The following is an 18,393-nucleotide window of genomic DNA, read 5'->3' on the forward strand; positions in this document are numbered from 1 at the left end:
AAAATTTAGTTTCTCCAGGCAAACATGCTTATCACATGTCACAGTAGTCCTTGCCACTGATGATTTCACTCTTCTAACCCTGCAAAGGACTTGCGCATACTATCCCAAAACAAGGCTGCTGAGTGCTACAATACTATCGATGTGTTTTTTGGTCCATTTTTGTCAACTCATCCTCGTGTATGTTTCTTTTTCTCTCTTTCTCTCTTTTTTTAAGATATGGTCTTGCTCTGTCACCCAGGCTGGAGTGCAGTGACATGCTCATGGCTCGCTACAGCCTTGACCTCCCAGGCTCAAGAGATCGTCCCATGTCAGCCTCCCAAGTAGGTGGGCCCACAGGCATGCGCCCCTATGCCTGGCTAATTTCTTTTATTTTTTGTAGAGACTGGGACTTGGGCTCAAGCAGTCCTCCTGCCTCAGCCTCTCAAAGTGCTGGGATTACAGGCATGAGCCACCACACCTGGCTGGTGTACATTTCTCTAGAGTAAAAGAACCACAAACACACACACATACACGTATATGTGTGTGTACGTGTATACATGCTATACATATATACGTATATATGTGTGTATACATATATACGTATATATGTGTGTGTATACATATATACGTATATATGTGTGTGTATACATATATACGTATATATGTGTGTGTATACATATATACGTATATATGTGTGTGTATACATATATACGTATATATGTGTGTGTATACATATATACGTATATATGTGTGTGTATACATATATACGTATATATGTGTGTGTATACATATATACGTATATATGTGTGTGTATACATATATACGTATATATGTGTGTGTATACATATATACGTATATATGTGTGTGTATACATATATACGTATATATGTGTGTGTATACATATATACGTATAGTATGTGTGTGTATACATATATACGTATAGTATGTGTGTGTATACATATATACGTATAGTATGTGTGTGTATACATATATACATATATGTGTTTGTACATGTTTATACATATATACATACATACATGTTTAGATATACGTTTATATGTATATATGTATACACATACATTATATATAGTTATATACACATACATATGTGTGTATGTGTGTGTGTGTGTGTATATATATATATATAGAGAGAGAGAGAGAGAGAGAGATTATTACAAGGAACTGGCTTACATGATTATGGAGGCTGAGAAGTCCAGACCCAGGAGAACCTATAGTGTAGTTCCATCTGAGTCTGAAGGTCTGAGAAGCAGGCGAGCTGATGGTGTTAGTTCGAATCCATGTGGAAAGACAGAAGAAAAACTATGTCCCAGCTGGAAAACTGTCAGAGAGAAAGAACTTTTTCTTACTCAGTCTTGTATTCTTTTCAAACCTTCAATTGATTGAATGAGGCCCACCCACACTGGGAGAGACGGGCAAATCTGCCTGCCTGGGTCTACTGATTCAATTATTAATCTCAGCCAGAAGCACCCTCATAGATACATCCAGAATAATGTTAGACTATATATCTGGGCACCTTATGGCCCAGTCAAGATGCCACATATACTCATTCATCACACTTCATAACAACTATTTCTTCACCTATAATTGGCCACTATAATTTTTTGAACAAAATTGAGAAAACATATTCATTAACTTTTACATACTTTTATTTGGTAGATGAAGTTTCAAAAGATGGTCTATTTGAGAAAGAACATAAAAAATATGGTCCTTGGTGGTTAACAAAAATAAAATGGTAAGAGAAGTGGGAATAGTTTGACCCAGACCTTTTGATATGTCACAGTACTTATTATCATTTAACCCTCTGTATTGATCCATTTTAAAATATTGCATGTTATCATTTCAAAATCAATTCTGCTCATCTTAAATAAATCATTGTACATTATAAAAATTTGGATAATATGGTAAGACACAGAGAAAAAAATCAACCATGATTCTTCAGCACAGAGATGATTACTATCGATAGTTAAGAATTCTATGTTCTTTTTTCTCTGTCACCATATACACGTTTTGGAGGGCAAAACTGATATCATACAGAAAAATTAAGTAAATGTTTTTCCTTTAATAGTGGAAAATATTGTGGATCTCTTCTTATGTAGCTAGTGTAGATTTATAAAATCACTTTTTTTTTTTTGTTTGAGATGGAGTCTCACATTCTTGCCCAGGCTGGAGTGCAGTGGCATGATCTCAGCTCCCTACAACTTCTGCCTCCTGGGTTCAAGCAATTCTCCTGCCTCAGCCTCCTGAGTAGCTGGGATTACAGGTGCATGCCACCATGCCCAGCTACTTTTGTATTTTTTAGTAGAGATAGGTTTTGCTATGTTGGCCAGGTTGGTCTTGAACTCTTGACCTCAGGTGATCCACCTGCCTCTGCCTCCCAAAGTGCTGGGATTACCGGAGTGAGCCCCCATGCCTGGCCATAATATCACCCTTAATGCATAATATTTCATCATATAGATCCTCCATGATTTACTTGCCATTCTATTATTGTTAATCCCTAAATTTGTTTCAATTTAAAAATTATGATAAATGATATAAAATATAACAACAATGTGAAATATTTGCACATTTTTAAAGTATTTGGCTCTTATTGCCAAATTGCCTTTAGAAATGTTGTCACAAATACACTAGGTGCTGCATAAAGTAGCTGTTTTACTGATCTGTAGCCAAGCAAGGAAATTATCATTTTTATAAAATCCTCAACAATCAAAAGGAAAAAAATTGTAACTTGTTGGTTTTTAATTTTGAATTTCTATGTTTCTGATATTGTTGAACATTTCTTCATATATTTATTGGCCATGTTATGTCCTCCTCTTATGAATTGCCCATTCATGATGTTTTCCCAAGTTTCAATTGTGGCTTTTTTTTCTCTTTTTCTTATTAATGTGTAAAAACTTAATAAATTAAGCATATCAGGACAAACAATTTTCAAACGCTTTTCCTCTTTTGTTGTTACTTTTGTTTGTTTAACAAATTATACATGTCAACATGAAGGAACATTTGTGAATGGAAAGATAAGTGAAAACACCAGGGTCAAAAGGCTTAACAGGAAGCATATACTACTTTAAACATGGCTGTGTTTGAAAAACATAGCCGAAGAGTTCATCACTAAATCAAAAAGCAGAAGTCTGGAAGAATTGTTCTTACAGTTAAAATGTATTTTTGGGAGTCTCTCCTATGTTTGTATTACATAAGCAAGGCATTAACAGGATAAAGTCTCTCCCAAAAACCTACTAAGAAGTCAATTCTTTGAACGACAATGGAAATTGTTCTTTTCAGGAATGAATATGTCTTTTGGCTAAACATGGATAAAAGCTTTTGCTCAATATGGCATAATAACTCCAGCAGGCTCACAGCAGCAAAACTAAGTCTGTCTCAAAGTGTCTTATTACAATGAAATCAAATGTAACCTCTTAAACCCAAGACGTAAATCACTCACTTTTCTCTTCTTTCAAACAGTTTTTGAGTATATTACCATAAATACTACCTGTCACAAGACTGATAGCTGTCAGTAGCTCAAAAATATGAATAAAATTGAAAATGCATTTGAATATGGGAATCATAATAGCATTTTGTAGAGAGGTGACAGTAATAATAGGCTATGGCAGACAAGAAAAAAAAACCCCTCAGTAATAGTAAAATCTAGAAAACTTTCTTCAAATTAAATAAAATCCCAAATCAGTCTTACCAGAGTTATATTTCCACCAAATATAACAGTCAATAAAATACTACTGGCCCTCAGTAGTCTGTAGCACTGGCAAATTGAGTTCACTTTGTGAATTTTTATATTGAAAGTATATATCAAGTTGCAGGGCATAATTTCAAAACTGCACAATCTGAGTTTATGTTTCATTCCAAATGATACCTGAAACTCTCATTAATAGTTCTCCAACAAGGTAAAAATTAACCTCTCCTGAATTTTAAATTACATTTTTAAATCATTAGCTGAAATGAATAAATCCCAGTTATTTAAATAAATACAGACTTTTAAATGACCCAAGTCAATGTATTTTAGATAAAAGAAGTTTTTTCCAAATGTTCAAACTCAATTTGTATCTCTTTTGCATTTTCTGATTTTAAAAACATAGTATTACACGCAGCAACTTAGGTGAAGCTCAAGGACATTATGCTAAATACAAAAAGCCAACCCAACGTTTATATACTTTATGATTCCATTTGTACAACCTCCTTGAAATGACAAAGAGATGGAGAAAAGATTAGTGGTTGTCGGGGTTAGGGGTGGAGGTAGGTGTGACTAATAAAGGGATAGCATGACAGACTTTCTTTGTGTTGCTTGAATACTTCTGTATCTTGATTGTGGTAGTAGTTATAGAAATCTATACATGAAATAAAATCGCATAGAACAACACACACACATGCACACAAACACACGAGTGCATTTAAAAACTGGTGAAAATTGAACAAAGTCTGTTGTCTATTGAATGTTTTGTACCCATGTCAGTTTCCTGGTTTTGATATTGTGCTACAGCTATATAAGATGTCACCACCGGAAGAAACTGCTTGAAGGGCTCATGAGGCTCTATGTATTAATTTTGCAACTTTCTGTGTATCTATGATTATTTCAAAATAAAATGTTTTTTAAAGCACAATATCCATTCAGTCAAACTTTCAAAGTCATATAGACAATTGTTAGAAAGAAAGCAAATTAGAGCTCTTAGCAGCCAAATTATATGTCAAGAATTCACGCACTAACAAATTCATTTTATTTATTGGAGAATTCCTCAGGTTCTCATGAAATGCCTATTTGCTCTTCGAATGCATTTTTTTTGTACTTGATAATCTGGTTTCCACAACTATAACAGACACATTCACTCAATGCTGTACCTCAGGCTAAATAAATCAGCAGCTCTGAGGTTAGAGACAAACACCTTGATTTAAAACAAACAAACAAACAAACAACAACAACAACAACAAAAAAAACTACTGTCCCCAGGTGATCCTGATATGCAGCCAGGATTGAAAACCATGGCTATAAATGGTAATCGAACCTACCAGAGTGGATGAGATCATCCAAAGAGATTGTATGGCAGTGGTTCTAAACCTTGGCTGCATAAAGGAATCACCTGGAAACTCTAAAATATACTGATGTCTGGTTCCTCTCCCCAGAGAATCTGATTTACTCGATCTGGGGTATAGCCTGGGAATCAGGATTTGGAAAAGCTCCCCAGTGCTTGTAATAATCAATCAAGGTTGTCAACCACTGTTACACATATACAGAAATAAGAAAGGTCAAAGTCAGAACCCTGAGGAATATTGACTTTAAATCATGAAAAGAGAAACTCATAAAGATAATCATAGAAATGTAGAAATAAGGGCAAAAAAGGACTAGAAAATGGCATTATAGAAGCCAGAAGAAGCAAGTATTTTAAGAAGTAGAAAATAGACAACAATATCCAATGCAACTAAGAAGTACAGTAAGGTGACAACAGTAATCATAGCCATTAATTATAGTACTTGCTACATTCAGGGAGTAGGTAGACACTTGACAAGAATTACCACATTACATTTTTACAACAAACTCATGAATTTCATGAGTAAATAATAAATAACAAAATGATTACTGTTTTCATTGGAAATTGGAGGTGAAAGAGGGCACGGAACTTCCTGTGATGGCACATCTGGTTAAGGACAAAATCAGATCTACAGCCTACAGTCTGGAAAGTGTTGAATTTAGCTCCACAGAGCTCTCAGCTTTAGATTTTTATTTTGCTTGTGTGGTATATTTTGGGATGCGCTTCCAGGGCAACACTCCTCCCTTATTATCGGAAACTTTTCTCTTTATTTGTCCCTAATATTTATGTTCTAGTCAATTTGATTTTGATTCCTCCTAGTGTATCCTGAAAACTCATGAAGGAAGATTTGTCAGGTATCCCTGAAATTCTGGAAGATGTAACCTGACACAGCATGGTGGAATCTTCCCAGGGTTGTGCAGTTTTTTGCATTTACTTACAATCTGAATCCTGTGAGGACTTTCCTCACTTTTGCTGGTTGTTGTCAGACCCTTCCCCCAGGTAGCATAGTGTCCCCTCTTTTGGGAGGTATGTGTTGATGATTTTTTTTTATTTCCCTGGCTTGTACGATACGTTGGTAGACATCTTTTTTATTTCCCTACCAGCCCTACCACACAATTATTTATCTTGGTGCTTTGTGCATGCTCCCTTCTATTCTGGAAAATGTAGGGATTCTTTTTCCCAGTTTTTTGAATACATCATCCATAATTTTCCCCCTACAATCCTAATTAGTCTGCTTTGTTTTCAGGGGGAGTTTCTGGGAGACTAAAAGACTCCACTGTCATATCTACTAAAGCTAAACAGTGGATAAGGCCTACACTATGACCCAGCCCTCTCATTCCTAGGTATATTCCCAATAAAAGTGCATACATATGTTTTCAAAATGTATGTAAATGAATATCCACAGCAACACTATTTGTGATAGCCCCAAACTTGAAACAACCCAAATGTCATTTGTATAATGGACACATAAACTTTGGTATATTTATACAATGAAATTCTATATAGCAATGAAAATGAACAAACTACAACTATCTTTAACAGCAAAAATGTATCTCATAAATGTAACACTGAGAAAAAGAAGCCTGACAAAAGAGTAAATATTGTATGCTTCCATAATAACAAGTCCAAAGCTATTTGGAGACAAAATAGTAGTTACTTTTGTAAATGGAAGGAAAGAGTAGCACAGGAAGGATCAAGAAAGCCCAGGAAGGCTTTTGTGTTTCTGAGAATGTTTTTTTTCTTGATGTGGGGGCTGGTTAAATTGGTTTGTTTGCTCTGCAAAAATTTATTCAGCTGTATGTTTATGATCTGTACATTCTTTTCCATGTATGTCAAATTATGATTAAAATTTTACATAAAATATGTACATACTAGCAAAATGCACTGAAATGCTATATAATTTGCATGTTAATGAAATGAATCCAACTGTACATCAGCTGGAAAGAAAAAAGATACATTTATAAAATCCTCCTGTCACAGTGATAAGTCCCTATAAGCATATTACATCTGCAATCAAAAGAAAGAGTTAGGCCTCTGTGTTATTAGCCATCATAGTCACCAGGATGTAAAAATACACATGAAATTTAGCAGCTTTGCAAGTACATGTTTTAGGACTACAAGACTGATAAATGTTCTTCACTTACCTTTAATAAATAAAAACATGACCTTCTTCCCTTAAACGTTATCTAGAGACAATTCTAGATTTCCCCATGAAAGTAGGACCAAAACTGGAAGTTTCTCATCACTTATGTAAGATTCTTAGCAGTTGCCAGTCTGTCCAAACAAGTAAAAAGCTGAACAAACTGAAAAATCAATAATTCTTAGATTAATCAGGGAAATGAGGTCACAGGGCAAACTGCTACCCCCAGAACTGGAGAGACAGAAAGGTAGACACAGAGAATCACAACTTACCTGAGACAGAGCCTCTGTAGGAAGCAGTGCTGGGGTAGGAAAACCTAAAGTGTAACCGATGAAATGCTGGAGGCTTGGTGTAGACAAGCCTCAGAGTTAAAAACTCCAGGAGGACCCAATCACAGAGAAGCCCCACACTTTTGTGAGTCCTACCACCTGGAGCTCTATTAGGTTCTCATGGTAAATATGTAAGAAAAATCCCCTGGTGCTTCTGGAGGGAAGGAGAAAAAAACATATACAAAACATACCAAAGCATTCTGCTCTTCTTAACACAGCCTGCCCTCAGGGGAAAGTATTTTACTACAGCCCAAACTTCTGGGGTATTCTCAGGGCCTAACTGACCTGGGGGAAGGGAGATACCCAGCTCCAGCTCCCTCTGGCCTTCTATGTGGGAGAAGGGAAATATCCAACTCCAGCCCCTTCTAGCCATCCTGTCCCACCTAAGGGGTGAAAAACTGAGAAGCACCCATGAAGTTCACAGCCCAAAGGCACAGACTTACCAAAAGATTGAAACCTAATCATAGGACTATAGAACACTTCCTCTCCCCCAACACCTTATTACTACATCACTGAAGTTTAGCTATCAATAAAAAATCATAAGACATATTAAAGAGGCAACAACAGCTTGAAGATAATGAACAAACATCAGAACCGGAGTCAGATATGGCAGGAATGTTGGAATTATCAGACCAGAAATTAAAAAACAACTATAATTAATATGCTTTAATTAAAATGGATTTAATGGATTTAAGTACACAACATGCAAGAACAGATAGATAACGTATGCAGAGAGATTTAAAAAATCAAGGAGAAATGCTAGATGTAAAAAGAAAATATCAAAAAGAAATGCTAAAGATTAAAAACGTTGTAAAATAAATGAGTAACTTTGATGGGCTCATTAGTAGACTGGACATGGCTGAGGAAAGAATCTCTTAACAACAATAGAAACTTCTAAAACTGAAAAGCAAAGAGAAAAAAGACTGAATAAAGCCAGTACAGAATTCTAAGAATAGGCAGGTCACAGTGGCTCACATCTGTAATCCCAGCACTTTGGGAGGCCGAGGCAGGTGGATCAGGAGGTCAGGAATTCGAGACCAGACTGACCAGTATGGTGAAACCCCGTCTCTACTAAAAATATAAAAATTAGCCAGGCGTGGTGGTGCACACCAGTAATCCCAACTACTCAGGAGGCTGAGGCAGGAGAATTGCTTGAACCTGGGAGGCAGAGGTTTCAGTGAGCCTAGATCGTGCCACTACACTCTAGCCTGGGTGACAGAGCAAGACTCTGTCTTAAAAAAAAAAAAAAAAAGAATTCCAAGAATAATGGGACAGCTAAAACAGTCTAACACACATGTAGTGAGAATACCAGAAGGAGAAGAAACAGAGGAAGGAAGAGAAACAATATTTGAAGCAGTAATGACTGAGGATTTCCCTCACATTAATGTCAGACATCAAGCCACAGATCCAGAAGCTCAGAGAACACCAAGAAGAATAAATGCTCCAAACTTCTACACCTAGTTATATCATATTCAAACTTCAGGAAATCAAAAAAAAATTTTTTTTAATTTTGAAAGAAACCAGAAGTAAAAGACACTTTACCTATAGAGAAGAAAGATCAAAATTCTGTCTGACTTCTCGAAAACTATGCAAGCAAGAAGAGAATGGAGTGAAATATTTAAAGTGTTGAGAGAAAAAAATCACCAACTTAGACTACTCTGAAATACTTTTTCACAAGGGAAGGAGAAATAAAGATTTTCTCAAACAAAAGTGGAAGAATGTGTTGCCAGTAGACCTGCCTTGTGAGAAATGTTAAAAGAAGTTCTTCAGAGAGAAGGGCAATGATATAGATCAGAAACTTGGATCTATGTTTAAAAAAAGAACAGTGTCAAAGAAAGAATAAGTGAAGGTAAAATAAAAACCTTATTTTTCTTATTCTTAATTGATCTAACAGATAAAAGTTTGTTCAAAATAATATAAACAATGTATTTGATTACATATGCCTATATAAAATATATATGTTATATATATATATTTGCTTGTGCATACATGAAATGAATGACAGCAGTGATTCAAGGGATAGGAGGGAATATTTTGTTACTACAAGGTACCTGTACTAGCCATGAAGTAGCACATTGTTATTTGTTAATGAACTTGAATTAGTTGTAAATGTATAGTGCAAATTCTAGGGCAACCACTAAAACAAGTTTTAAAAATGTGTAATTTATATGGTAAGAAAAGACAGAAAATGAAATAATATACAGTGCTTAATTAAAACCACAAAAGGCAAGGAAATTATGGAACGCAAAAATAAAAACAAAAAATAAGGGCAAAATAACTTGGAGAGGGGCCAAGATGGCCAACTAGAAATAGCTGTGGGAGGCTCCCACAGAGAAGAAGGTAAATGGCAAGTGAATTGTGCACCAGCAACTGAGGTATCCAGGTTCTCTCACTGGGACTGACTAGGCAGTTGGTGTGACCCATGGAGAGTAAGGAAAAGCAGGATGGAGTAACAGCCTACCAGGGAACTGCACAGGGCTCACCCCTAGCCAGAGGAGGTGGTGAGTGATTTTGCTACCCCACCCAGGAAACCACACTCTGTACACGGATCTGTGCATCCTGAGTATCACGAGATCCCCCTCATGAGCCACACCACCAGAGCCTTGGGTCCCAAGCACAGAGCTGTGCAGATTCTTGGCAGCCACTCAGCTGGAGACTGCCTAAGATGACCGAGTTCGGGTGGTGGGGGGCGGCCACTTTCCCTGCAGCTGCCTGCTGCCTAAGATGACTATGCTCCCAGAGGGAGGGGTGGCAGCCATCACAGCAGCTGCTGGCTGCCTAACATAACCAAGTTCCCAGGTGGAGGGGCAACCATTATCACTGCAGCTGCCTGCTGCCTAAGAAGACTGAGCACCTGGCGAGGGGGGCATCAGCTATCACTGCAGCTCCAGTCTGTCAGTTTTCCCTTGCCAGTGCCAGGGAGACTGGGCACTTTGGACCCAGGAGGAATTCCCCACAGCGCAGCACAGTGGCTGTGACAGATTATGGCCAGACAGCCTCTTTAGGCTAGACCCTGACCCATCCCTTCTCACCACGCAGGGCCTCCCTTTGGGAATTTCAGCAACCCCAGCCAGGGCTGCAGTGGCTGCAGATCAGTGGACTTAAGCTTTCCCCTTGCTGGCTCTGAAGAATCCAGGCATTTCAGACGAGTGAGCTCCCCACCGCCCAGTGCAATGCACCCCCTCCACCAACCCGCAGCCAGAGTGCTTCATTAAGCAGGTCCCTGATCCCATGCCTCCTCACTGGGTGACACTCTCCCAACAAGGGTCACCAGACACATACAGGAACATTTCCACTGGCATCAGGCCAGTGCCCCTCTAGGACAGAGCTCCCAGAGGAAGGAGCAGGCAGCCATATTTGCTGTTCTGCAGCCTCCACTGGTGACAGGAGGGACCCAGATGAATAGGGTCTGGAGTGCACCCCCAGCAAACTGCAGCAGCCCTACAGAAGAGGGGCCTGACTGTTAAAAGAAAAACAAACAAACAGAAAGCAACAACAACAACATCAACAGAAAAGTCCCCACCAAGACCCCATCCAAAGATCAGCTACCCCAAAGATCAAAGCTAGATAAACTCACAAAGATGAGAAAGAATCAATGATAAAACACTGAAAACTCAAAAAGCCAGAATGCCTCTTCTCCTCCAAATGATTGCAATACCTCTCCAGCAAGGGCACAGAACTGGGCAGAGGATGAGATGGATGAATTGATAGAAGTAGGCTTCAGAAGGTGAGTAATAACCAGTTTTGCTGAGCTAAAGAAGCATGTTCCAACCCAATGTAAAGAAGCTAAGAACCATGATAAAACATTACTGGAGCTGCTAACCAGAATAACCAGTTCAGAGAGGAGCATAAATGATCTGATGGAGCTGAAAAATACAACACAAGAACTTAACAATGCAACCACAAGTATCAATAACTGAATAGACCAAGTGGAGGAAAGAATTTCAGAGCTTTAAGACTCTCTTGCTGAAATAAGACAGACAAGATTAGATTAAAAAAAATAAAAAGGAAAGAATAATACCTCCAAGAACTATGGGATTATGTAACAAGACTGAACCTATGGATGATTGGGGTATCTGAAAGAGATGGAGAGAACAGAACCAAGTTGGAAAACATACTTCAGGATATTATCCAGGAGAAATGCCCCAACCTAGCAAGACAGGCCAACATTCCAATTCAGGAAATCCAGAGAACCCCAGTAAGATACTTGATGGGAAGATCAACCCCAAGACACATAATCATCAGATTTTTTAAGGTTGAAATGAAGGAAAAAAATGTTAAGGCAGCCAGAGAGAAAGGCCAGGTACCTACAAAAGGAAGCCCATCAGACTAACAGCAGACCTCTCAGCAGAAACCCTACATGCCAGAAGAGATTGGGGGCTAATATTCAACATTCTTAAAGAATTTCCAGCCAAAAATTTCATATCTGGCCAAACTAAGCTTCATAAGTGAAAGAGAAATAAAATCCTTTCCAGACAAGCAAATGCTGAGGGAATTTGTCACCACCAAGCTGCCCTGCAAAAACTCCTGAAGGAAGCACTAAATATGTAAAGGAAATTCTGGTACCAGCCACTACAAAAACACACTGAAGTACAAAGACCAATGACACCATGAAGCAACTACACTAACAAGTCTGCAAAATAACCAGCTAGCATCATGATGACAGGATCAAATTCACACATAAAAATATTAACCTCAAATGTAAATGGACTAAATGCCCCAATTAAAAGACACAGAATGGGAAGCTGAATAAAGAGTCAAGACCCATTGGTGTGCTGTTTTCAAGAGACCCCTCTCACATGCAAAGACACATATAGGCTCAAAATAAAGAAATGGAGGAAAATTTACCAAGCAAATGGAAAGCAGAAAAAAGCAGGGGTTGCAATCCTAGTTTCTGACAAAGGAGACTTTAATAAGCCAACAAACATCAAAAAAGGCAAAGAAGAGCATTACATAATGGCAAAGGGTTCAATTGAACAAGAAGAGCTAACTATCCTAAACATATATGCTCCCAATACAGGAGAACCCAGATTCATAAAACAAGTTCTTAGAGACCTACAATGAGACTTAGACTACCACACAATAATAGTGGGAGAATTTAACACCCCACTGTCAATATTAGACAGATCATCAAGACAAAAAATTAACAAGGATATTCAGGACTTGAACTCAGCTCTGGATCAAGTGGACCTGATAGATATCTACAGAACTCTTCACTCAAAAACAACAGAACATACTTTCTTCTCAGCACCACCTGGCACTTACTCTAAAATCAATCACACAATTGGAAATAAAATACTCCTCAGCAAATGCAAAAGAACTGAAATCATAACAAACAGTCTCTCAGACCACAGTGCAATCAAAGTAGAACTCAAGATTAAGAAACTCACTCAAAACCACACAATTACATGGAAATTGAATAACCTTCTCCTGAATGACTCCTGGGTAAATAATGAAATTAAGGCAGAAATCAAGAGGTTCTTTGAAACCAGTGAGAACAAAGAGACAACATACCAGAATCTCTGGGATGCACTATTTTAGCTGCACTAAAGCATTGTTAAGAGGGACATTTATAGCACTAAATGCCCACACCAAAAATGTAGAAAGATCTCAAATCATCACCCTAACACCACAACTAAAAGAACAAGAGAACCAAGAGCAAACAAATCCCAAAGCTAGCAGAAGACAATAAATAACCAAGATCAGAGTGGAACTAAAGGTGATAGAGACATGAAAAACCCTTCAAAAAATCAACAAATCCAGGAGCTATTTTTTTGAAAAATTAATAAAATAGATAGACTGCTAGCTAGAATAATAAAGAAAAGAGAGAAGAATCAAATAGGCACAATAAGAAATGATAAAGGGAGTATCACCACTGACTCTACAGAAAGGCAAACAACCATCAGAGAATACTATAAACACCTCTATGCAAGTAAACTAGGAGATCTAAAAGAAATGGATAAATTCCTGCACACATACACCCTCCCAAGACTAAACCAGGAAGAATTATTGTGTGGGAGTCTGAATAGACCAATAACAAGTTCTGAAATTGAGGCAGTAATAAATAGCCTACCAACCAAAAGAAAGCCGAGGACCAGATGGATTTACAAATGAATTCTACCAGAGGTACAGAGAGGAGCTGGTACCATTTCTTCTTAACCTATTCCAAACAATTGAGAAGGAGGGACTCCTCCCTAACTCATTTTATAAGGGCGGCATCATCCTGATACCAAAACCTGGCAGAGATACGACAAAATAGAAACTTCAGGCCAATATCCCTGATGAACATTGATGCAAAAATCCTCAATAAAATACTGACAAACTGAATCCAGCAGCACATCAAAAAGCTCAACACATGGACACAGGGAGAGAAACAACACACACTGGGACCTGTCAGGGGATCAGAGGGAGTGAGACCATCAGGATAAATAGCTAATGCATGCGGGGCTAAACACCTAAGTGTTGGGTTGATGGGTGTGGCAAACCACCATGGCACACATTTATCTATGTAACAAACCTGCACATCCTGTGAACTTCAAATTAAGTTAAATTAAAAAGAAACAAATGAGGACAACAAACAGAAAGTATATCAAATATGATAGACATTAATTTAATATATCAATAATCATTTCAAACATCAATGGTCCAAATACAGCAATTAAAAGAGAGAGATTGTCAGAACGGATTAAAAATCATGACCCAACTATATGTTGTTCATAAGAAACCCACTTTAAATATAAAGATAAATACGGATTAAAAATAAATGATGCAGGAGAATATATCAGGCTAACAATGATCAAAAGAAAGCAGCAGTAATTATATTAGTTTCAGACAGAGCAGACTTCACAACAAACAATGGTATCAAGAATAGAGGCATTAAAAAAGATAAACAGGTACAGATTTCAAGATGACATAACAATCCTTAATGTATATGGACCTAAAAAGAGTATCAAGCTATGTGAGGCAAAAACTAGTAGAACTGTGAAGAGAAATAGATGAATCCACTATTATAATTGGAGACTTCAACACCACCTTACCAGAAATAAACAAATTCAGCAGGCAAAAAAATCATTGAGGACATGCAGTTGAACTCAATACCGCCATCAATCAACGGGATATAATTGACATCTATCAACCACGTCAACAACAGAATACACATTTATTCCAAGAGCACATGGAACATTCACCAAGATAGACCACATTCTGTGACATAAATACAACTTAAAAAAAAAAATGGGCTGGGTGCGGTGGCTCACGCCTGTAATCCCAGCACTTTGGGAGGCCAAGACTGGTGGATCACGAGGTCAGGAGATCGAGACCATCCTGGCTAACACGGCGAAACCCTGTCTCTACTAAAGATACAAAAAAAATTAGCTGGGTGTGGTGGAGGGCACCTGTAGTCCCAGCTACTCGGGAGGCTAAGGCAGGAGATAGGCGTGAACCCAGGAGGCAGAACTTGCAGTGAGCCCAGATCGAGCCACTACGGCACTCCAGCCTGGGCAACAGAGCGAGACACCGTCTCAGAAAAAAAAAAAAAAAAAAAGTGGAAATCATACAATGTCTGCTCTCAGACCATAAGGAAACTTAGTTAGAAATTAATAACCGAAAGATAACTGAAAAATCTGAAAATACATGAAGATTAAATCACATATTTCCACATAACACATGGGTCAAGAAGAAATCTCAAGAGAAATTTAAAAATATATTAAATTAAATGAAAACAAAAGCACAACTTATCAAAATTTGTGGAATGTGGTGGAAGTCGTGTGTAGAGGGAAATTTATAGCATTAAAGGTAGATATTAGAAAAGATGAAAGATTCAAAATGAATAATCTAAGTTTCTACCTTGGAAAATTAGCAAAAGAAGAGCAAATAAAATCCAAAGTAAGCAGAAGAGAAAAACTAGTAAGAATTAGAGTCAAAATCAATGAAATTGAAAACAGAAAATCAACAGAGAAAACCAACAAAACCGAAAGTTGGTTCTTTGAAAAGATCAATAAAATTGCTGCCGATGACGCGCGGGAGGAGGAGGAGGAGGCCGCCCCGCCACCGCTGCCGCCTCCCGCCCACCTGCCCGCAGCCCCGGCCCCCGGCGGCGGCGGCCAGCATGAACCAGCAGCAGCAGCAGCAGCAGAAAGTGGGCAAGCAGCAGCTGAGCGAGCCCGAGGACGTGGAGATGGAAGCTGGAGATACAGATGACCCATGAAGAATTACTCAGAACGCTGTGATCAATGGGAACGTGGCCCTGCGTGATGGACACAACAACAAGGAGGAGGGCATGGAGGACGAAACCAGTTAGCGCTCCGAGGCGACCTTTCAGTTCACTGTGGAGCTCTTCAGCAGACTGAGTGAGTCGGTCATTAGTCCTCCGTGTTTTGTGCGAAATCTGCCATGGAAGATTATGGTGTGCCACGCTTTTATCCAGAGAGACCACACCAAAAAAGTGTAGGATTCTTTCTCCAGAGCAATGCTGAATCTGACTCCACGTCACGGACTTGTCATGCACAAGCGATGCTGAAGATAATAAATTATGGAGATGACGGAAAATCGTTCAGTCGTCGTATTAGTCATTTGTTCTTCCATAAAGAAAACGATTGGGGATTTTCCAATTTTATGGCCTGGAGTGAAGTGACTGATCCTGAGAAAGGATTTATAGAAGATGACAAAGTTTAGCCATTGAAGTCTTTGTACAGGCGGATGCTCCCGATGAAGTTGCGTGGGATTCAAAGAAGCACACAGGCTGTGTTGGCTTGAAGAATCAGAGAGCGATTTGTTACATAAACAGCCTGCTACAGACGTTCTTTTTCACAAATCAGCTACGAAAGTCTGTGTACATGATGCAAACCGAGGGGGATGATTCGTCTAAAAGCGTCCCTTAAGCATTACAAAGAGTGTTCTATGAACTACAGCGCAGTGATAAACCCGTAGGAAAAAAAAGCTAACAAAGTCATTTGGGTGGGAAATTTTAGACAGCTTCATGCAACACGATGTTCAGCAGCTTTGTGGAGTGTTGCTTGATAATGTGGAAAAGAAGGTGAAAGGCACCTGTGTAGAGGGCACCATACCCAGATGATTCTGAGGCAAAATGGTGTCCTATATCCAGCGTAAAGAAGTAGACTATCGGTCTGATAGAAGAGAAGATTATTATGATATCCAGCTAAGTATCGAAGGAAATAAAAATATATTTGAATCATTTGTGAATTATATGGCAGAAGAACAGCTCAGTGGGGACAATAAATAGGAAGCTGGGGAACATGGCTCACAGGAAGCAGAGAAAGGTGAAATTTCTAACATCACCACCAGTGTTACATCTACAACTGATGAGATTTATGTATGACCCTCAGACGAACCAAAATATCAAGATCAATGATAAGTGTGAATTCCCAAAGCAGTTACCATTTGATGAATTTTTGAAAAAAAACAGATCCTAAGGACCCTGCAAATTATATTCTTCATGCAGTCCTGGTTCATAGTAGAGATAATCATGGTAGACATTATGTGGTTTATCTAAACCCCAAAGGGGATGGCAAATGGTGTAAATTTGATGATGATGTGGTGTCAAGGTGTACTAGAAAGGAAGTAATTGAGCACAATTATGGGGGTCACGATGACAACCTGTCTGTCCGACGCTGCACTAATGCTTACGTGTTAGCCTATATCAGGGAATCAAAACTGAGTGGAAGTTTTACAGGTAGTCACCAACCATGATATTCCAGTTGGTGGAACGACTCTAAGAAGAGAAAAGGATCAACGCTCAGAAGGTGGACAGAATGGCAGGAAGTCCATCTCTATATGCAAGCGCAGGTAGCCTCAGAGGACCAGTTTTGTGGCCACCAGGGAAATGACATGTACGATGAAGAAAAAGTGAAATATACTGTGTTCAAAGTATTGAAGAACTCCTCACTTGCTGAGTTTGTTCAGAACCTCTCTCAGATCATGGAATTTCCACAAGATCAAATTCAATTGTGGCCCATGCAAGCAAGGAGTAATGGAACAAAACGGCCAGCAATGTTAGATAATGAAGCTGATGGCAATAAAGCAATGATTGAGGTCAGTGATAATGAAAACTCTTGGACAATATTCCTGGAAACAGTCGATCTCGAGCTGGCTGCTAGTGGAGTGACCTTACCCAAGTTTGATAAAGCTCATGATGTAATGTTTTTTTTGAAGATGTATGATCCCAAAATGCGGAGCTTGAATTACTGTGGGCATATCTACACACCAATATCCTGTGAAATACGTGACTTGCTCCCAGTTATGTGTAACAGAGCAGGATTTATTCAAGATACTAGCCTTATCCTCTATGAGGAAGTTAAACTGAATTTAACAGAGAGAATTCAGGACTAAGACGTGTCTCTTGAAAAAGCCCTTGATGAACTAATGGATGGTGACATCATAGTATTTCAGAAAGATGACCCTGAAAATGATAACAATAAAAAGATCAGGTTGCCACAGGTTGGACAGGAGGGAGAAATGAAAAGGTAAAGAACAGAGAATTGTTAAGGCCGTGAAGCTATTCTTTATGATACTATAATGATGGGCATATGTCGTTATACATTTGTGAAAACCCATAGAATGTACAACACCGAGAGTTAACCTTAATGTAAACTATGGATTTGGGGTGGCAGTGATGTGTCAGTGTAGGTTCATTAGTTGTAACAAATGTATCACTCTGATTTGGTTTCATAGTAGGGGAGGTTGTGCGTGTGTAGGGAGAGGGGCTATATGGGAACTCGCTGTACTTTGCATCCATTTTTCTGTGAACCTAAAACCACTCTAAAAATAATGTTTATTTTTTTAAAGTAGGGTCAGAAAACATAAGCCAATTTTCACACTCACATTTAGAACTTCCTTAGACATTAAACTATGAAAACTAGAGAAAAATTGTTTTATT

General features: G+C 38.5%; 1 pseudogene, besides 1 other annotated feature; it reads left to right on the plus strand.

Moving 5' to 3' along the window:
• Window positions 15,585–16,784: an enhancer, noted in NCBI's record as "CDK7 strongly-dependent group 2 enhancer chr5:107060476-107061675 (GRCh37/hg19 assembly coordinates)". NCBI's record gives its function as "activates an origin of replication core promoter dependent on BRD2, BRD4, P300/CBP, MED14 and CDK7 cofactors, with strong dependence on CDK7, by STARR-seq in HCT116 cells {active_cell/tissue: HCT116}" and the evidence as "EXISTENCE:reporter gene assay evidence [ECO:0000049][PMID:35650434]".
• LOC345576 (ubiquitin specific peptidase 7 (herpes virus-associated) pseudogene) lies at window positions 15,630–17,936 on the plus strand (annotated as a pseudogene).

The sequence above is a fragment of the Homo sapiens genome, chromosome 5 (assembly GCF_000001405.40).
Source record: "Homo sapiens chromosome 5, GRCh38.p14 Primary Assembly".
NCBI classification, from domain to species: Eukaryota; Metazoa; Chordata; class Mammalia; order Primates; family Hominidae; genus Homo; species Homo sapiens.